Raw genomic sequence first — 16,209 nt, forward strand, 5'->3', positions numbered from 1 at the left:
CTCAGCAAGACTTTCTCTGACCATAAAATTATAATTGCAGCTCCTGCACTTCCTATTATGTCCTCTGCTAATTGTTAAAATAGACGGCAAGCTTCACAAGGACAGAAATAGTCTTATTGCTTTTAATCCTCAGCACCATATCCAGCACATGGTAGGGATTCAGTAAATGTCTGTAAATGTTGAATGAAAGATAATATAGTTTTAAAATATAATTTTGATTCATTTTTAATTCAACCTTTGTCATGTCCTATTATACAAGCTATTCAGTATTTAAAAGCCTAACAAGCCTCTTAATAAGCATTTGTGAAAAGCCTGGTGTATTTAAATTACTGAATAGTAAACATCAGCCAAGACTTGCAGAACTTGATGAGGTTTGAAACAAAGGATCTTATTCCTCTAACTTGCATCAAGCTAAGTACCAGTTACCGTGTTTCTGAGGGCATTTCAAGAGAGTGAGGTGATGTTCAGTTTAGAGGGATGAACTGCCAGCTTTCCCGCAGGGCTGGATTTCTGTTAGTGTCAGAACTGCTGACACACCTGCTCGGGGTGGACTCAGGGCAAAACCTGATCAAGGGCAAGCCTGGGTAAGTAAAGAGTGCAAGTTAGCATCTGACCACTTTTTCCTTAGACATTAAAAAAAAAGTTTTCTTCAATAAATATGAAAAATCTTTGATCAATGTTCACATGTTTTCTTGGAAATGCACATCTAAAAGTGGAACTATCTGCTCTTCTCTAGAAACTTCTAGGGGCAAGAGAACAGAATAGCCATAATAGAGATCAGAGTATAAATTAGAGGGCTGACAGCATCATTACAAAATGAGGATTGGTATCTAAAATGCTAGAGCCGGTGGCTAGAGGAGTCTCTGGCCTCCTGTCAGACAGAGAGAAACATGCTTCTTCCCAAAGTTTCTCCCCCTGTGCAATAACCTTAATAATATCAACCAGTTCTAAACAACATATTCTGTGTTGGGTCTGTTAGATACTTTATCAACATTATCTCATAATTGTTCAAAATACTTATTACCCGCACTCTGAAGATGAGAATACTGAGGCTCAGAAAGGTTAATCAGCTTGCCTAAAATCTCCCAGCTAGTATGAGATAGGGTCAGTATTCAAACTCAAGTATCTATGACCCCAAGCCCATGTTACGCCTCTAATACTAGGCTGAAGCTGAAGCTAGGGTTTAGAGAAAGCACCCAGGCCTGGAAAAGGGAGTAGGCTGGCATCATAGCAGTGCTAAGGCCCCAGTAAAGAACTGGAGGCCACCCAGGGCATAAGTCCAGTCTCAGAGCCTGGACGCACACCAGAGCATGAGTGACAAGACTAACTCAGTGGGCACGAATGATAAAGGCTTCACTCCATGGTTAGAGCTACAGTCTAATCCTTGGCAGACAGAGAGGTGAACTGACTGACAGACATGTGGAGATACTGACACAGATGGAGAGGGACAGTGCAGGGCTGGGACTGTCAGGAGGGACCTTCACCACTCTCCTCTCCCCTAACATCCAAAGTCCGTCTTCACATCCTCCTCAGCCATTTTTCTCCTCCAGCTCCACCATTCTCTCCAAGCACACCTTAGTGGCTCTACAAGGGAGCATCCTGGGTTTGAATTTTACCACCTCCTGCCTCCCAAGAAGGCCACTGAGCCCTAAGCTTGAGTTTTTTTATTGTCACCCAGGTAACGATAATCCATAAAGAGGCAGAAAATAAGCCACTTGGAGGTAAAGTAACCTCTCACAGCAAATGTCCTTACAGTAGTCTTTATAGCCTGGCACACGGACTTTAGGTAGCAGAGTCAATATACTTGCATGCTACACAACTTTCTCATGTTTTGCCTGACACTCACTTATTCCTGACCTTTCCATACTAGGGAGAGACAAACCCTTCCATTTGTTTAGCATTTTAACGTTACGAAACGCTTTCTGCTGCATTACCTCACTGAGCCCTCACTAGAGTGTGGAAGGCCTAATCCCCGTGTCAGATGAGGAAATGGAGCCTGGGAGAAGGTGAACAGACCACCCTAGGCCATAGGAGTGGCCAACCTCAAACAGCAGTCAGAGCCCAGAGCCAGTGGTCCCTATTCTGGGCCCTGCTCGCCTCACCACAGCGAAAGAGAGAATGACTCCACCTGCAATTGAAGCAAAGTCTTCTTCAGCCCAACTTTCATTTCCTCATGGTGTAAACTTTGCCTCAGTTAATATAAGTAAAACCAGCTAAAACAAAAGCACTTGCCACAACTCTGGGAGTGGAACATCAAACTCCCCACGCTGACCTCAGTTGACAGAGGGCTTCCTGACTCAGAGATTTCCTCCTAACCTCTACATATTTATATCTCTTTTCCTAACGAAAACACCAGACACCATAAGGAGGGTATGTACATGGAGGACAATTTTAGACTGTGAACAACCAAAGAAATGATGAATATGGGTCATGTAAAGGACAAGAGACAAGAAGACATGAGGAGGGACTCACACAGATAAGCCTGGGCACGTGGGAAGTCCCCACCTGACGCAGACAGCTCTCTTCATCGTCAGCCCTCTGTGCTGGCCCAGATGAAGCTCAGTATCCAGCCACCTTCCCCTGCTGCCCTCAGCTCATTTGTTTTGTCTTCCCACCAGGAACATGTGTTTCACTTCCCAGCCTCCTCCTAAAACCCCTGGCCTGTCGTCTGTGCACCATGTAAAGAGAACCAGATGTCAACTCAAAAATCACGAGGTTTTCACAAATTCAGAGAGCAAGCTTTATTTCTTAATGAGGATTACACCCTGAGAGGTGATCATTTTGATAGGCTGGGAAGCATAGCCTCTAACAGAGAAAGCAAGCAAGCCCTTCAAGGGGGAGAAGGATGGGACAGGAATTTATACTGAACAGGTTGGTCAAGTATGCATATTCAACAGGTTATTGGAGGAGCTATGAATATTCAGGAAGGGGGTCCTAATGCACACATACTAAATGATCATGTATGTTACATATGACCCATGCTCACTTTGGGGTAGAGACTTCGCATTTAAATGCATTATAATTAGCCTGTATAGGTCAAAAGATAAAAGAAGGACACGAAGGCTCCCAGTTCACAACCTCTATAAACGGGCCAGAACTAGTTCATCACCAGTGGTCTCTAATTAGGAGAAGGTTGCTGAAATCAGTCTCTTGTCCAATCAAAATGGGAGTTATGGCTTATGGAACAGGAGGGTGAGCTAGTCAGTGTCAGGGGTCAGTGAGCTGCAATTGTTTTAACATTTTTTATCTTGAGACCAGTGCTTCCTTAGCTGTTAGAGGAAAAAACAAAAATGGAAACTGTGGCAGTTAGAACATAGTTTATTCTTTAAGTGAGGGGGAAGGGGGTGGTGCATGAATTAACCCTTGCCTGACATGGCCTCAGATCCCATTTATAATTTGGAATCTTATTGCCACAAAGAGCCCATTCCCTCTTGCCTGTGGGCCTAAGGGACTTTATTTTTATTTTACACAGGTATATAAGAAATTAGCCAAAGAGACATAAAAATAAGAGGAAGATAGAAGACAGGAAAACTGGCAGTAAAATTCAAGCATAGCAGAACTTGATTTGTTTATCTTCAGCCTTATGTGAATGGCTGATCAAACTGGAGTTGCCTTGGAACACATTTTTGTAGACTGATAACCTCATTTCCGACATAGTCCAGTACCCAGAACACTGAGAACCACCAGCACATGAAAACTCAGATGACTTCACCTATTGGGGATGCTGCTGTATCCAAAAGAGAAAGAACAGAAAGATATGGAAACATTTTCTGTATTCAATGGGCAAAGCATGCCAGTGAGTGGTGAAGGGGAGACCAACATGTCCTAGAATAACGTGGGGAGCATGTAGTATTCTGTGGGCTGCAGGCTTCCCCCAGTCACTAGCATGGTTATGGCTTTCTCATCACATTACCGGGCTCAATGTAAAAGAGATCCATAGACCTTTCCTGATCTTCTTTCTAAAATAAATCCTTCTGTTATTCTCTTTCACAGCACTCTATTCGTACCCTTCTTAACATTTAATTATTGCTATAATTGGTTTGTTGTTGTTGTTGTCATTGTTGTTCATTTATCAGTTTTTTTTTGTTTGTTTGTTTTTTGTTTTGTTTTTGTTTTTTTTATTATACTTTAAGTTTTAGGGTACATGTGCACATTGTGCAGGTTAGTTACATATGTATATTTATCAGTTTTTTTATTTGTTGACTGGGTCTCCCAAAAGATATACACTACATTAACATTAATCACTAATGTGATATTAACTAAGGGCTCAATTCTCAATTTCTCCTTTATTTTTTCTTTTTAGAGATAGGCTCTTGGTCTGTCACCCAGGCTGGAGTACAGTGGTGCACTCATGGTTCACTGCAGCCTGGAACTCCTGGGCTCAAGTGATCATCCTGCCTCAGCCTTCTGAGTAGCTGGGACTACAGGTGCATGCCACCATACCCAGCCTATGGGCTCTATTTGTATCAGTGGAATGAATGAATGCGTATTAAAATCTTTAGCACAAAGCCTGATTTTTAGTAGGTATTTCATACATCCAAGTTTTCCTCTCAGAGCTTTCCAACTGTCTGTTGGGGCTTGCACATGTACATACATGATTCTACACAAAGCTCAGAGTGACATGCTGATTTAGATCTGCAAAAGAAGAGCTGGTAGTGAAGATTAGGTTCAAGGAAGGTCTTAGGTATGGCAGTAGGGGCCACATGCACATTTCAAGGATCTTTGGAAACAAAGAGAAGTTACACCCAAGTTCATGTCCACTTGCCCTGTCCCCTTTGACCTCTGGTGGTGTTGGTTAAAATAAAGATGCCCAAAGGCCTGGAAAGAATTAACAGAGACATTAAATTTAAAAACTCCCTAGTGCAATAAAGCCTCACCATTCCAGAGTGCCTATCATTTGATTTTTGTATATATTTCCCTTATTTTTTCCAACAAGGATTTGAAAGAGGGTGAGTGAAAATGCCCCCATTCACAAAGTGCTCTGTCCTCAGAAATGTCTCCTAAAGATACATTTCAGAGCTTTTCCCCCAAGCAGTTGGAGGACAGCATAGAGTCTGACCTTGGCAGGTGACAGTGGGGAAGAATCGGCCCCAGACTCCAGGGTTGTTAGTGGACAACTTTCTGGAGACCCCAAGGAGCTCTGGAGCACCCCTCTGCGCATAAATTAGCAGCTGATTGTTTCTGCTCCCCACTTTCTTTTCTTCTTGAATGAGACTGCACACGTCTTCCCTAATCCCAGTAAAGTTACTGCAAAGCCTGTGGGAGAGAGATAAGGTGAGGAAGAGCTGGGGAATGCAGAAGGACTGTGCCTTTTCCTTTAATCTGACTCTACCAGCACCTGCCTAGGGAGGCCCAGAGGTCTCTTCAGGGCCTGTCCGGCTAGAAGCACACTTTTTCCATGTGCTCCAGCTACACTTACAGCTTCTACAACACCTACCTGTGCTATCTGGAGGCTGGTTGTCACTCACCTGGGCTATTCTTTATCCAAACCTTTTTTTTCTTTATTTCCAAAGATTTTTGTTTCATTATTTTGGGAAATGAAAATGCAGGAAAATCAAGACACAGCTAAAACTCTTTATATTACATTTTACTGAAAAAAGAAATATTATAACCCAACTCCAATGTGAGGAATTTCTCATTTTCCTTCTTGGCTTTTGAAGCTACTGAGGTCATGTCTCTGATATCCTCCATCAGAGCTCTCTGCTGGCAACTGTACAGATCTAGTCTAGGTGTACACAAGGGACACCACGCTCTCCTGGTTTTGCTCACTCCTCATTCAACAACCTTGCTCAGTGTGACTCATTTTCTAAATTTTGTCTTCCTATCTTCTCTCAGCAAAATGTATCCCAGTAAAGAAATTTTAGACTTGGAGTCTAAAGACTAGTAGAATATGACTCTTAGGAACGGGGCCCCCAGATTCCCTAAACAGATGCCCCTGAAGATAAGTGCCTGAAGGACTGTCATTGAAAGCTTTTCAGGCTACCTCTGTGTCCCTGCAGGATAGGATTGGGGCCAATCAGTAGAAGCTCCAGGAGGCAGATTGTGACTTTTCTCACAGTCAGAGCTCTGAGTTGCCTCACAAGACAACTCCTGTCACCAAGAGCTTGCTAGAGCAGTGATTCCTTAGCTTAGCTGCCTATTAAAATCACTGAAAAATTTTAACAGATATACAGATACTCCAGACTCAGAGAATCAGACTCTGGGAGTCAGAGGCCAGAACACAGAACCTGTGTCAGAGAGCATAGATTTCAGATCATCATCTCACACTTACTAATTAGAGTCACTGAAACCTGGAGCTGCAGTTTTCTTGTTAGCCAAATAGTATAACAATACCAACTTTACAGGATTGTTGTAAGCAGTGAGAATTAGTTATGTGCTCAATAATTTGTAATAGCTAATTCACATTCAGGTGCTTTTGGGAATGAGTTAGAAGCCTGACAACATCTGTGGATTTATTAATGGCCCCCCAAAAAACAATGGGCCTATATCTGCCTAGGTTAATAACATCTAATAAATGAGTTTTCAAGTCAGGTATGGCACTTCATAATTCACAAGGCATATTAATACACATTGTTTCATTTAGACTTTGGTTCTTACAACAACCATGAAAGGTGGGCAAGATAATGTTATGTCAAGTTTACAGATAAGAAAACTGAACATTAGAAGGGTTAAGTAATTTGTCCAAGGTCCTACTGCTAGTTATCCAAAGGTCCTTAGACAAATACGTAGCCGGATACTGTCATATCGACTACCTGAAGCTTTGTTGCCACTCAATGGATTCAGAGGCATACTTCTTGTCTTCTCAAGTAGACAAAGAACTAGAAAATGTATTTTGTGTTTCTTTTTTCCCCCTACCATCCTGCCTGGCACTATCTTGCATACAGTGGGAGTCCACTAAATGTACATTATTATAGTGGACTTATGGAATGGTCTGCGGGGAGAGCAGTGCTATTTCATCAGCATAACCCTCAACTTGAGACTTAAAACTTTTCTCACCACTCTCAGTATCCCCAAGGCTTTTGGTCCTAAGGTTTGTTTAAATATCTTCTTTCTTAACTGTTTGCACTCATTTTTTCTCAAAGCCTGCTAATTTTTGTGTTACAGTTTTCTAAATGTTCCCCATCCCCATAGGTAAGTCCCCAGTACCCCTGCCATTCTTCTCCACTTCCCTGGTCAAGTGGAAGGACATGGAGTATACATGAGTTTGAACCTGCAATCTTATTTCAGTAGGTTAAGTAATTTGGGAAATGTTACTTACTATTGCTAAATGTCAGTTTTTCATCTGTGAAATACAAGGAATACTTACATACCAAGGTTGTTGTGGAGATAAAGAGAGATAGTGGACCAGTGTGCCAGGCACATAGTCACTACACAATAATTGCTGTTGGTCATCTCTTCCCTCCAACTGCTGTCTTCTCCTTGCAAATTTTTCTAAGCTGCCACAATCACAAGAACATAATCCTCAAGTATAATGTTGATTTTGTCACCTATTTACTCAAATCTTCTATTCAGCATCTCCTAAGCAATATTCCTTTCAAGTTCTAAGTCAACACTGTCCAATAGAAATTTGATGCATGCCACAAATGTGACTTGTATATGTAATTTTAAAATCACCTAATATCTACATTAAAGCAAAGTGAAAATAAATGGCTAATTAATTTTGATGATTTAATTCAATATATCTAAAATATTATAATTTTCTATAAGAAACTTAAACAATTGAACAAGCAAAAAAAACCCTATTAAAAATGGGCAAAAGATAAGAACAGACACTTCTTAAAAGAAAGCATACAAGTAGCCAACAAACATATGAAAAAATGTTCCACATCACTAATCATCAGGGAAATGCAAATCAAAACCACAATGAGATACCATCTCACATCAGTCAAAATGGCTATTACTAAAAAGTCAAAAAAGAAAAAAAAACAGATGTTGGCAAGGCTATGGAGAAAAGGAAATGCCTATACACTGTTGGTGGGAATGTAAATTTGTTCAGCCACTGTAGAAAGTGATCTCATTATCAACACAGTGATCTCATTATCAGGTATGTATTCAAAAGAAAATAAATCTACCAAAAAGACACATCCACTTGCGCATTCATTGCAACACTATTCACCATGGCAAAGACATGGAATCAACCATGGTACCCATCAACAGTAGATGGTACATATACACCATGGAATACTACGCAACCATAAAAAAGAATGAAATCGTGTTCTTTGCAGCAACATGAATGCAGCTAGAGACCATTATCCTTAGAAAATTAATGCAGAAACAGAAAACCAAATACCGCATGTTCTCAGTTGTAAGTGGAAACTAAACATTAGATACTTGAGGACATAAAAATGGCAGCAATAAAGACTGGGGACTACTAGATGGCACAGAGAGGGGAGGGAGACAAGTCTCAAAAAAACTAACTGTTGGGCACTATGCTCAGTACCTATGTGACAGGATCATTCATATTCCAAACCTCAGCATCATGCAATATATCCAGATAACTAATCTGCACATGTACCCACTGAATCTAGGATAAAAGTTGAATAAATACATGAAAATTATCATTTTAACATGTAATCACATAGAAATTACTAATTAGATATTTTACATTCTTTTTATGCTAAGTCTTCACATTCAGATGTGTGTTTTATACTTATAGCACATCTCAGTTCACACTAGCTACATCTCAAGTGCTCAGTGGCCATATGTACCTAGTCGTTATTGCATCAGACAATGCAGCCCAACCCTCAGTTTAACCTTCACTCATCAACTGCTCCTGTTTGCTAATGGTTCTGATTTTCCAGGCTTGTCAAATGCTTATCAAAACACTCATCTGCCTGGTTATTATCAAAAAGTCAAAAGGTAAATATTGGCAAAGGTGTGGAGAAAAGGGAATGCTTGTATCTTGTTGGTAGGAATGTAGATAGGTGCAGCCATTATGAAGAACAGTATGGAGGTTTCTAAAGAAACAAAAAATAGAACTACCCCATGATCCAACAACCCCTCTTCTGGTCAAATACTCAGAGTAAATGAGAAGTGGAGATACTCACTGCTATACTTACAGTGAAAGCCCAGAGGAAAGGATCACCACTTTGTATCTGCACTCACATATTCACTGCAGCATTATTCACAGTAGCCAGGATATGGACACAACCTGAGTGTCCATCACCAGATGAATGGATAAAGAAACTGTTCTATATATATACAATGAAAACTTATTTATTCCTAAAAAATGAGATATTGCCATTTGCCACCACATGGATAAGTCTGGAGGACGTTATGCTAAGTGAAATAAGCCAAACACAGAAAAAAATTGCATAATCTCAGTTATATGTGGAATCTTTAAAATCTCAAATATAGAGAGATAGAGAACAAAACAGTGGTTGCCAGGGTGGGGGGTGGGAGAGGAAATGGGGAGATGTAGATTGGAGTATACAAAATAGCACATATGCAGGATGAACAAGTCTAGAGATCTAATGTAAAACATGAGCACTATAGGTAATATAGGTATGGGATTTGTGCCAAATAAGTAGATTTTAGCTGCATTTGCCACAAAAACAAAAACAAAAAAAATGGGTAATTATTTGAGATAATGGGTATGTGGCCAGGCGTGGTGGCTCACACCTGTAATCCAAGCACTTTGGGAGTCCGAGGCGGGCAGATCACCTGAGGTCGGGAGTTCGTGACCAGCCTGACCAACATGGAGAAACCCCGTCTCTACTAAAAATACAAAAAAAGTTAGCTGGGTGTGGTGGTGCATGCCTGTAATCCCAACTACTCGGGAGGCTGAGGAAGGAGAATGGCTTGAACCTGGGAGGTGGAGGTTGCGGTGAGCCGAGATCGCGCCATTGCACTCCAGCCTGTGCAACAAGAGCGAAACTCCGTCTCAAAAAATAAATAAATAGTGTGTTATTTTGCTTCATTATAGCAACCTTTTTACTATCTCCATATATTCCATAACATCATTTTGTATACCTTAAACATACACAGTAAAATTTATTTTAAAAGCACGCATCTGTGAAGTTTTCCCTTTCTTACCTAAAGAAATGCATACATCTTTTATCTGTTTGGAAAGCCCTCCCTCCTTCCTCTTCTACTCTGCTACTTCAGAACCTTGAGTGTTGGACAGCTCCTCTGGGGACCATGCCTACCCAACTCCACCTGGGTGAGAGGCCACAAACTGAGAAGAGAGATCTATTGATTACAAGGTAAAAACTGATCTGGTGACAAGCAAGGGCTCTGAAGTGAGGCAGGCCTGGCTTTATGTTCATGCCTAGGCTCTGCCATTAGGTTTCCTTGATAAATAGGGGTGAAGGTGGGGCTGGGACCAGTAGCTATCAGTATTTTAAAAGCTCCTGGAATAGGCCATAACCATCAATAATAATAATCTAGTTTAGTCCAAGGAATCCACACTTGAGAATGCCTTTTGATAGCATCTTTGCTTTTTGATAAGATCTTTCATAGATACCTTGAGGTTTCTGTTGTCTTATAACATTAAGGCATGTGGTTACAACTACATGTTGGCCTGTGGGTGTTAGTGCCATCCAAAGGCAGCCAGAGACCAAGGTGGCTATTGCTTATTCTTGCCAAATCCATCAGCCACATCAACAGTGGTTCTGTTTTTATATTTAGGAATTGATACTTAATACTTTAGTCACCTTGTTTTTATATAACATCATCCTATTGCCTTGAAGGGCTATGCACGTGGGAAGCTTTTTGTTAGGAAATTATTAAGTCCAAACCTGAGCAGTTGTTATTTCCTCACCACGAAGTTAATCAATAACGTTCCCACAGCCTAGCAGTGCTTTCTTTTTAAACAGTATCATTCTGAAGGAATAAGCATTGATAGATAGAAACCAGAAGAAAACCCAATAAAATATTTAATAGTTCAGTTAATACCTTCTAAGTAAGTTATTTTTTGCTTTTTAAAAATAGAGGTAAGAGGCACTCAAGTTGCAAATTCTGGTTAGTCAAAGTAAAAAGTCCTCCAGGCTTCAGGAAAAAGCACTGACTACCACAAATCATGGTCTTAATAACATCATTATGAAATACTTTTTAGAAACTCTAGTATTCTTTCATAACTGATTTTATTGTGTGTGTGTGAGAGAGAGAGAGAGAGAGATAATAAACCTTGATGGTCCCATACTTTTGCAAATAGTAAACTCACTTTTTAGTATAGATAGGATGAGAAATATGTTTTTCTCACCCATTCTACATTGATGGCTGAGGCCTCTATAGGCTGAGCCCCTATAACAAAAGACAGATTAACAAGAGAAAAGCATACACATTTATTTAATAAAGTTCTACGTGGCATGGGAGACTTCATAAAGAAATAAAGACCCAAAGAAATGGATAAACCTGTGCATTTTCCATACTAGGTTTGGTGATAAAGTTGGTAGTCATGAAGAAATATGATTTAATTTTCTTTAAAAGTGATCTATTGGTAATAAACTGGAAGGAATTTAGTAAGACCTGTTTATTCCAATTCCTCTCTGTGCCCTGTGTCTTTAGAGGTAAAGACGTTCTTTTCTTCTGAGTATGGGAAGGGCACCTCTCAAATGAGGGCCTTATAACCTGCTTCGGGCCAGAAAAATTCTTCCTAAGTTTTATTACCTGCTTCAAGGGAGGAGGGAAGGTGAGAGTGACCTTCCTGCTTTTGCTGTTCTCTCAAATTCCAAGGTGTCCTATTTGGGGATACCATGTCCTAAATCCCATCAAGTAACACCTCTTTGTGTATGTATGCACCTAAGTCCATGTCTGTATATGGTGTACAACTTTTAGTTACTTCATTTACAATTTAAAAAACTTTCGCGACACCCAAATAATCAAAGAGGAAAATGTAGTTACCACAGAGACTCCCTGATGAATCAGAGAGTGGTATCTGGACAAACTGTCTCTACTTAATTCAGGAAACCTTACATTTAAAAAAAGAACAAATCATGTTCCAACCAACTGTAGATTATGAATTTCTACTGGCAAGAAGTGCAGACAGCTTTTATTTATCTTTTTAACCATGAAAGCAAATTAGCAAGTATCTCTATATTGAATCTATGAATAGGTTTAGATGGACTGGAAATTTCTCTTGAGCATGCTTGATTTAGAAAAACAAATACCATCCAAGGACAAAGTGGCCCAGTAGGGGTGGCTAAGGATAACAAAGCCATTTTGCATTTCCATCCGGGAATCCATATGAGGATGCTCTTAGAAATAGGAACTAAGAAAACTATATCTCTGGCTGCAGCCATGACATTTTCCAAAATAAAGGCAGTGCCATTTAAAAAAAAGCTGACCCTGATTTACTTTCACATGACTGGAATGAACTGCATGAACAATTCAAAAAGTCAGATCAGACTTTTTGGTTCCTATCCTGATAAAAGGAAGATTAATATTTATATCCAAGTTTCCTCATTGAGTCTCATCATATTTTTGTAATATGCTTCAGTGTACTTATGGGTCTGGAGTTTCTACCTTGCTGCCTGATGGGAATGAAGTAGCTTTTAAACAAAGACTTTTGCAAAGATAGCATGAGAAAAACATATCCAGTTGAATGCTGAACTGTGCTGCTTATGGGAATTAACATAATGCTCAGGAATCAAGTGAATAAAACAACTGGAGAATGATACGCAAACAGCACGGTAGGGCAGAGACAGAGTTTCAAAATTGTGGAGGTAACCAGGGCTTTGTAAAATAAAGTTTGAATGCAGAACCTCAATTTTTATTATTTATTTTTATGACTGCTGCTTTTGTTCATGAGCAGCCAAGAGAAAGTACTAGGAAAATACTCTAATTTTGACACTTTTAGTACTTTCATTATTTTTTTTCTTGGAAAATACCTTCAAAAATTTGAGTAAAGGAAAAGAAAGAAAAAAATTCAAAACTCTTTGGAAATAGAATATTTCTGCAAACTACTTATTTTTAAATAGGCTTTCTTCCAAAAGGTGAAACTACAAATGAATGTAACTGAAAGGAAAAATATCTTTGCCTGACAAAATTGAAACCTTCTTACCAGAAACTTTGGGTCCACTGTTACTAAGGTAACTCAATCAATGAAAGTTTGGGAAATATTCCTGAAATTATTAATGGAATACAGGAGGAGGAAAGAGGTTAGGTTTGGGGTGAGAAAAATTGAGAATCAAGGATTAAGTGGGCTGCTGACAACCCTCCCTTTTGCTTTTGCATTTCAAATAAGAATTTTCAGAACTTGCTGATTTGAAAAGATAAAGAAACTAATGAGATTCTGAGTGCTCAGGTGAAAAATATTTTATAGGATAATAATTGAGGTTTAATGTTATGGCAAATTTTGCTACTTCATCACTAGAAAAAATAAAGCTAGTGATAGCAGTTGTAGCCTGAATTTTAAAATCAAGTTTATGGTCATATTTTTCTGGCAACTTTATAAAATTTGTCATCAAATCTTATTGATTTAATGATATGATACCTCAGGTTCTAAATTAAATGGGGACACAATAAATAACTACCTTTTTAATTAAAAAACAAGTATAATGATGAATTTATAATGGGAAGAGACCAAGGAATAGAAATTGTGCAGCACATAACAAATAAATATGCCAACTTTAAGCTGAAGACTCCATAACAATGCTTTTTCACTTGTAATTTGTTCTATTATAGATGGAAGATACATATCCCAGAGGCCTGAAATGGTTTTGTCCAATCTGCAATTTCAGGAAAAATGAAAGGACAAGCAAACAAAAAGAAAACCCTAAAGATAGACTATCTAGTGTTTGCTTTTTTTTTAACCATTGAGTTTCTAGCTCAAATTTAAAGTTTTTGTGAACTTCGTATTTATTTATATTTGCATAGGCTTTAATTTTTGTGGAAGGGCCAAAAGAAAGTTATTGAACATGAGGCAAAGAAAGACAGACTTAACTAAAGGTGGTAAACGTTCTCATATTTCTATCAAATAATTTGAATATCTATATGTACCAGCTTTGTTATCAGTATTTATTTTTATTTGAACAGCAAGTGTTTCAGTAAGTATTTATACATAAAAAATACTCTTTGGGAATTAAAACTATAAGAAATAGAGAAAAGAGAAAAGAAACTAAACTTATCATCAGTTTTGGCTTAAGTCAAATCAGTCTTTAGAGAAAATTGCTGTGTATTACAAAATTTTAAACAAAGTTAGCATTCAGAAAATCTTGAGTCTAAAGAAAATATTGTTGTTTATTATAATGCAAATTTCTATTGTTATAGTGGATTTGTGTCATTCTCTCCTCAAAAAAATGTTAGTTAAAAAAATGTACATTGACTTGATAATGATGAGCATCTTTATAATCCTGGACTTTTAATACCATATTTTTTATCTCATTTTATGGAACTTTGTGTACTGTTAAAAAGGGTGTTACCAGCTAGAACCGCCTTGCATTTGTATAGCATCTTAGAAGTTATAAGCCGGGCACAGTGGTTCATGCCTGTAATCCCAGCACTTTGGGAGGCTGAGATGGGGGGATCACGAAGTCAGGAGATCGAGACCATCCTGGCTAACAAGGTGAAATCCCGTCTCTACTAAAAATACAAAAAAGTTAGCTGGGCGTGGTGGTGGGCGCCTGTAGACCCAGCTACTCAGGAGGCTGAGGCAAGAGAATGGCGTGAACCCAGGAGGAGGAGCTTGTAGTGAGCTGAAATTGCACCACTGCACTCCAGCCTGGGAGAGAGAGCGAGACTCTGTCTCAAAATAAAGAGAAGTTATGGAAGAAAGACATCCAGATGATCTGATTTAACACCCAAATACTCTGGAAAATACCTCTTTCTCCCTTCCTTTCTCTAGAAAAGAAAACATAGACCTTGCATGGATAGGACTTAAAGTGAGTGAGTAGTAAAATTGTAGCTTGAACTTGGGTCTTCTCACTCTAGTGACATGTTCATACACTACTCTGCAATATCTCCACTGAAACAATACAATATTACTGTGGAAACTTACCAAAGGAAAAGAGAATACATCACCTATGTTTTCTTCTCCAGACAAAGGAAAGGAGAGAGACCTTAAAGTGTAGTGTAATTGACATTTTATGCAAATTTAGATTGTGCAAATTTGAAATAGTGTGATATATTAAAATCACTGTATACACAAAATTTTATATAATAAAAATCTGTGTTTTTAGAAATCAGGAAATGTGTTATTTCTGAAGTAGAAAGCCAAGTGAATTATAAACTGTATTATGCCATCACCAAATGGCAAAATAACTTATCCTTTGCCAAAATCATGTGAATCTTATCATTGTATGTATCAGAACTTTGGCAGATAATTCTGGTGACTATTTGACTTTTAGTGTGATGCTTACTATTATGAATGTATGTAGCCTTTTAATATACTATAATAAAGTTTCTAATTATTCATCAAATCATAGTGCTAGGGCAAAAAAAAAAGCCTCCAAAAATAACAACTTTGGGACAAAGGTTAGATATGCTAAAACACTTTAAAGAGAACTAGATGACTGCCATGAAACAATGAACTGCTGATTTAGGAGAGAAGTGTGATAAATAATAAATAATTTTGCACCAAAATATATAAAAGCATCATTGAAGGAAGAGGAGAGGGATAAGAGGAAGAGGAGGAGAATGAGAAGGAAGAAGGAAGAGAAAGAGGGAGGGAGTGAGGGAAGAACTGAGACAATGGGGATGTAGATTTTTGTCCTCTGACATGCACTCTTCTTCTTTACACTTACTACTTTGGGAAAATTAGCCTTGGATTATTTAAATTATGTTTTATGCAAAGTCATTAATAACAAACCACTCACATAAAATAAGATTTCCCTTTCTAAATCAATGCAGTCAGATTCAGCACTATGGATAGTTCACTCATGGAAGATTGAATCATGACATGGTGTACTAAAGGTTGGAATGAAACTCAGAGTTCTTCTGCTTCAAACGTTTTGGCAGGGAATCTATGGAATCATCTTTAAAAGTGACTCAAGTGATCTAGCGATCTATAGGTCAATTAAGGCCTTTGAGTTTGCAAAGTATTTTTATGTTTATAATCTTTTATTTTTTTAAGATGGAGTCTCACTCTGCCTCCCAGGCTGGAGTGCAGTGGTGTAATCTCAACTCACTGCAACCTCCACATCCAGAGTTCAAGCAATTCTCGCACCTTAGTCTCCCGAGTAGCTGGGACTACAGGTGTACAGCATAATTCCCCATTAAGTCTTTTTTTTTTTTTTTTTTTTGATAGAGACGGGGTTTCACCATGTTTCC

The 16,209-nt window shown here is 38.7% G+C and overlaps 1 protein-coding gene and 1 long non-coding RNA gene across 6 annotated transcripts in view, besides 1 other annotated feature; one reads left to right on the top strand and one right to left on the bottom strand.

Moving 5' to 3' along the window:
* Window positions 1–16,209, bottom strand: part of KCNMB2-AS1 (KCNMB2 antisense RNA 1) — a 334,939-nt gene that overhangs the window by 149,480 nt on the left and 169,250 nt on the right. The gene's annotated exons all lie outside the window — the stretch shown is intronic.
* KCNMB2 (potassium calcium-activated channel subfamily M regulatory beta subunit 2) overlaps window positions 1–16,209 on the top strand; it is a 307,994-nt gene that overhangs the window by 138,511 nt on the left and 153,274 nt on the right. The gene's annotated exons all lie outside the window — the stretch shown is intronic.
* Window positions 2,279–2,388: an enhancer, noted in NCBI's record as "active region_20854". NCBI's record gives its function as "activates an Ori minimal core promoter by ATAC-STARR-seq in GM12878 lymphoblastoid cells {active_cell/tissue: GM12878}" and the evidence as "EXISTENCE:reporter gene assay evidence [ECO:0000049][PMID:35858748]".

This window comes from Homo sapiens, chromosome 3, assembly GCF_000001405.40.
Source record: "Homo sapiens chromosome 3, GRCh38.p14 Primary Assembly".
Classification (NCBI taxonomy): Eukaryota; Metazoa; Chordata; class Mammalia; order Primates; family Hominidae; genus Homo; species Homo sapiens.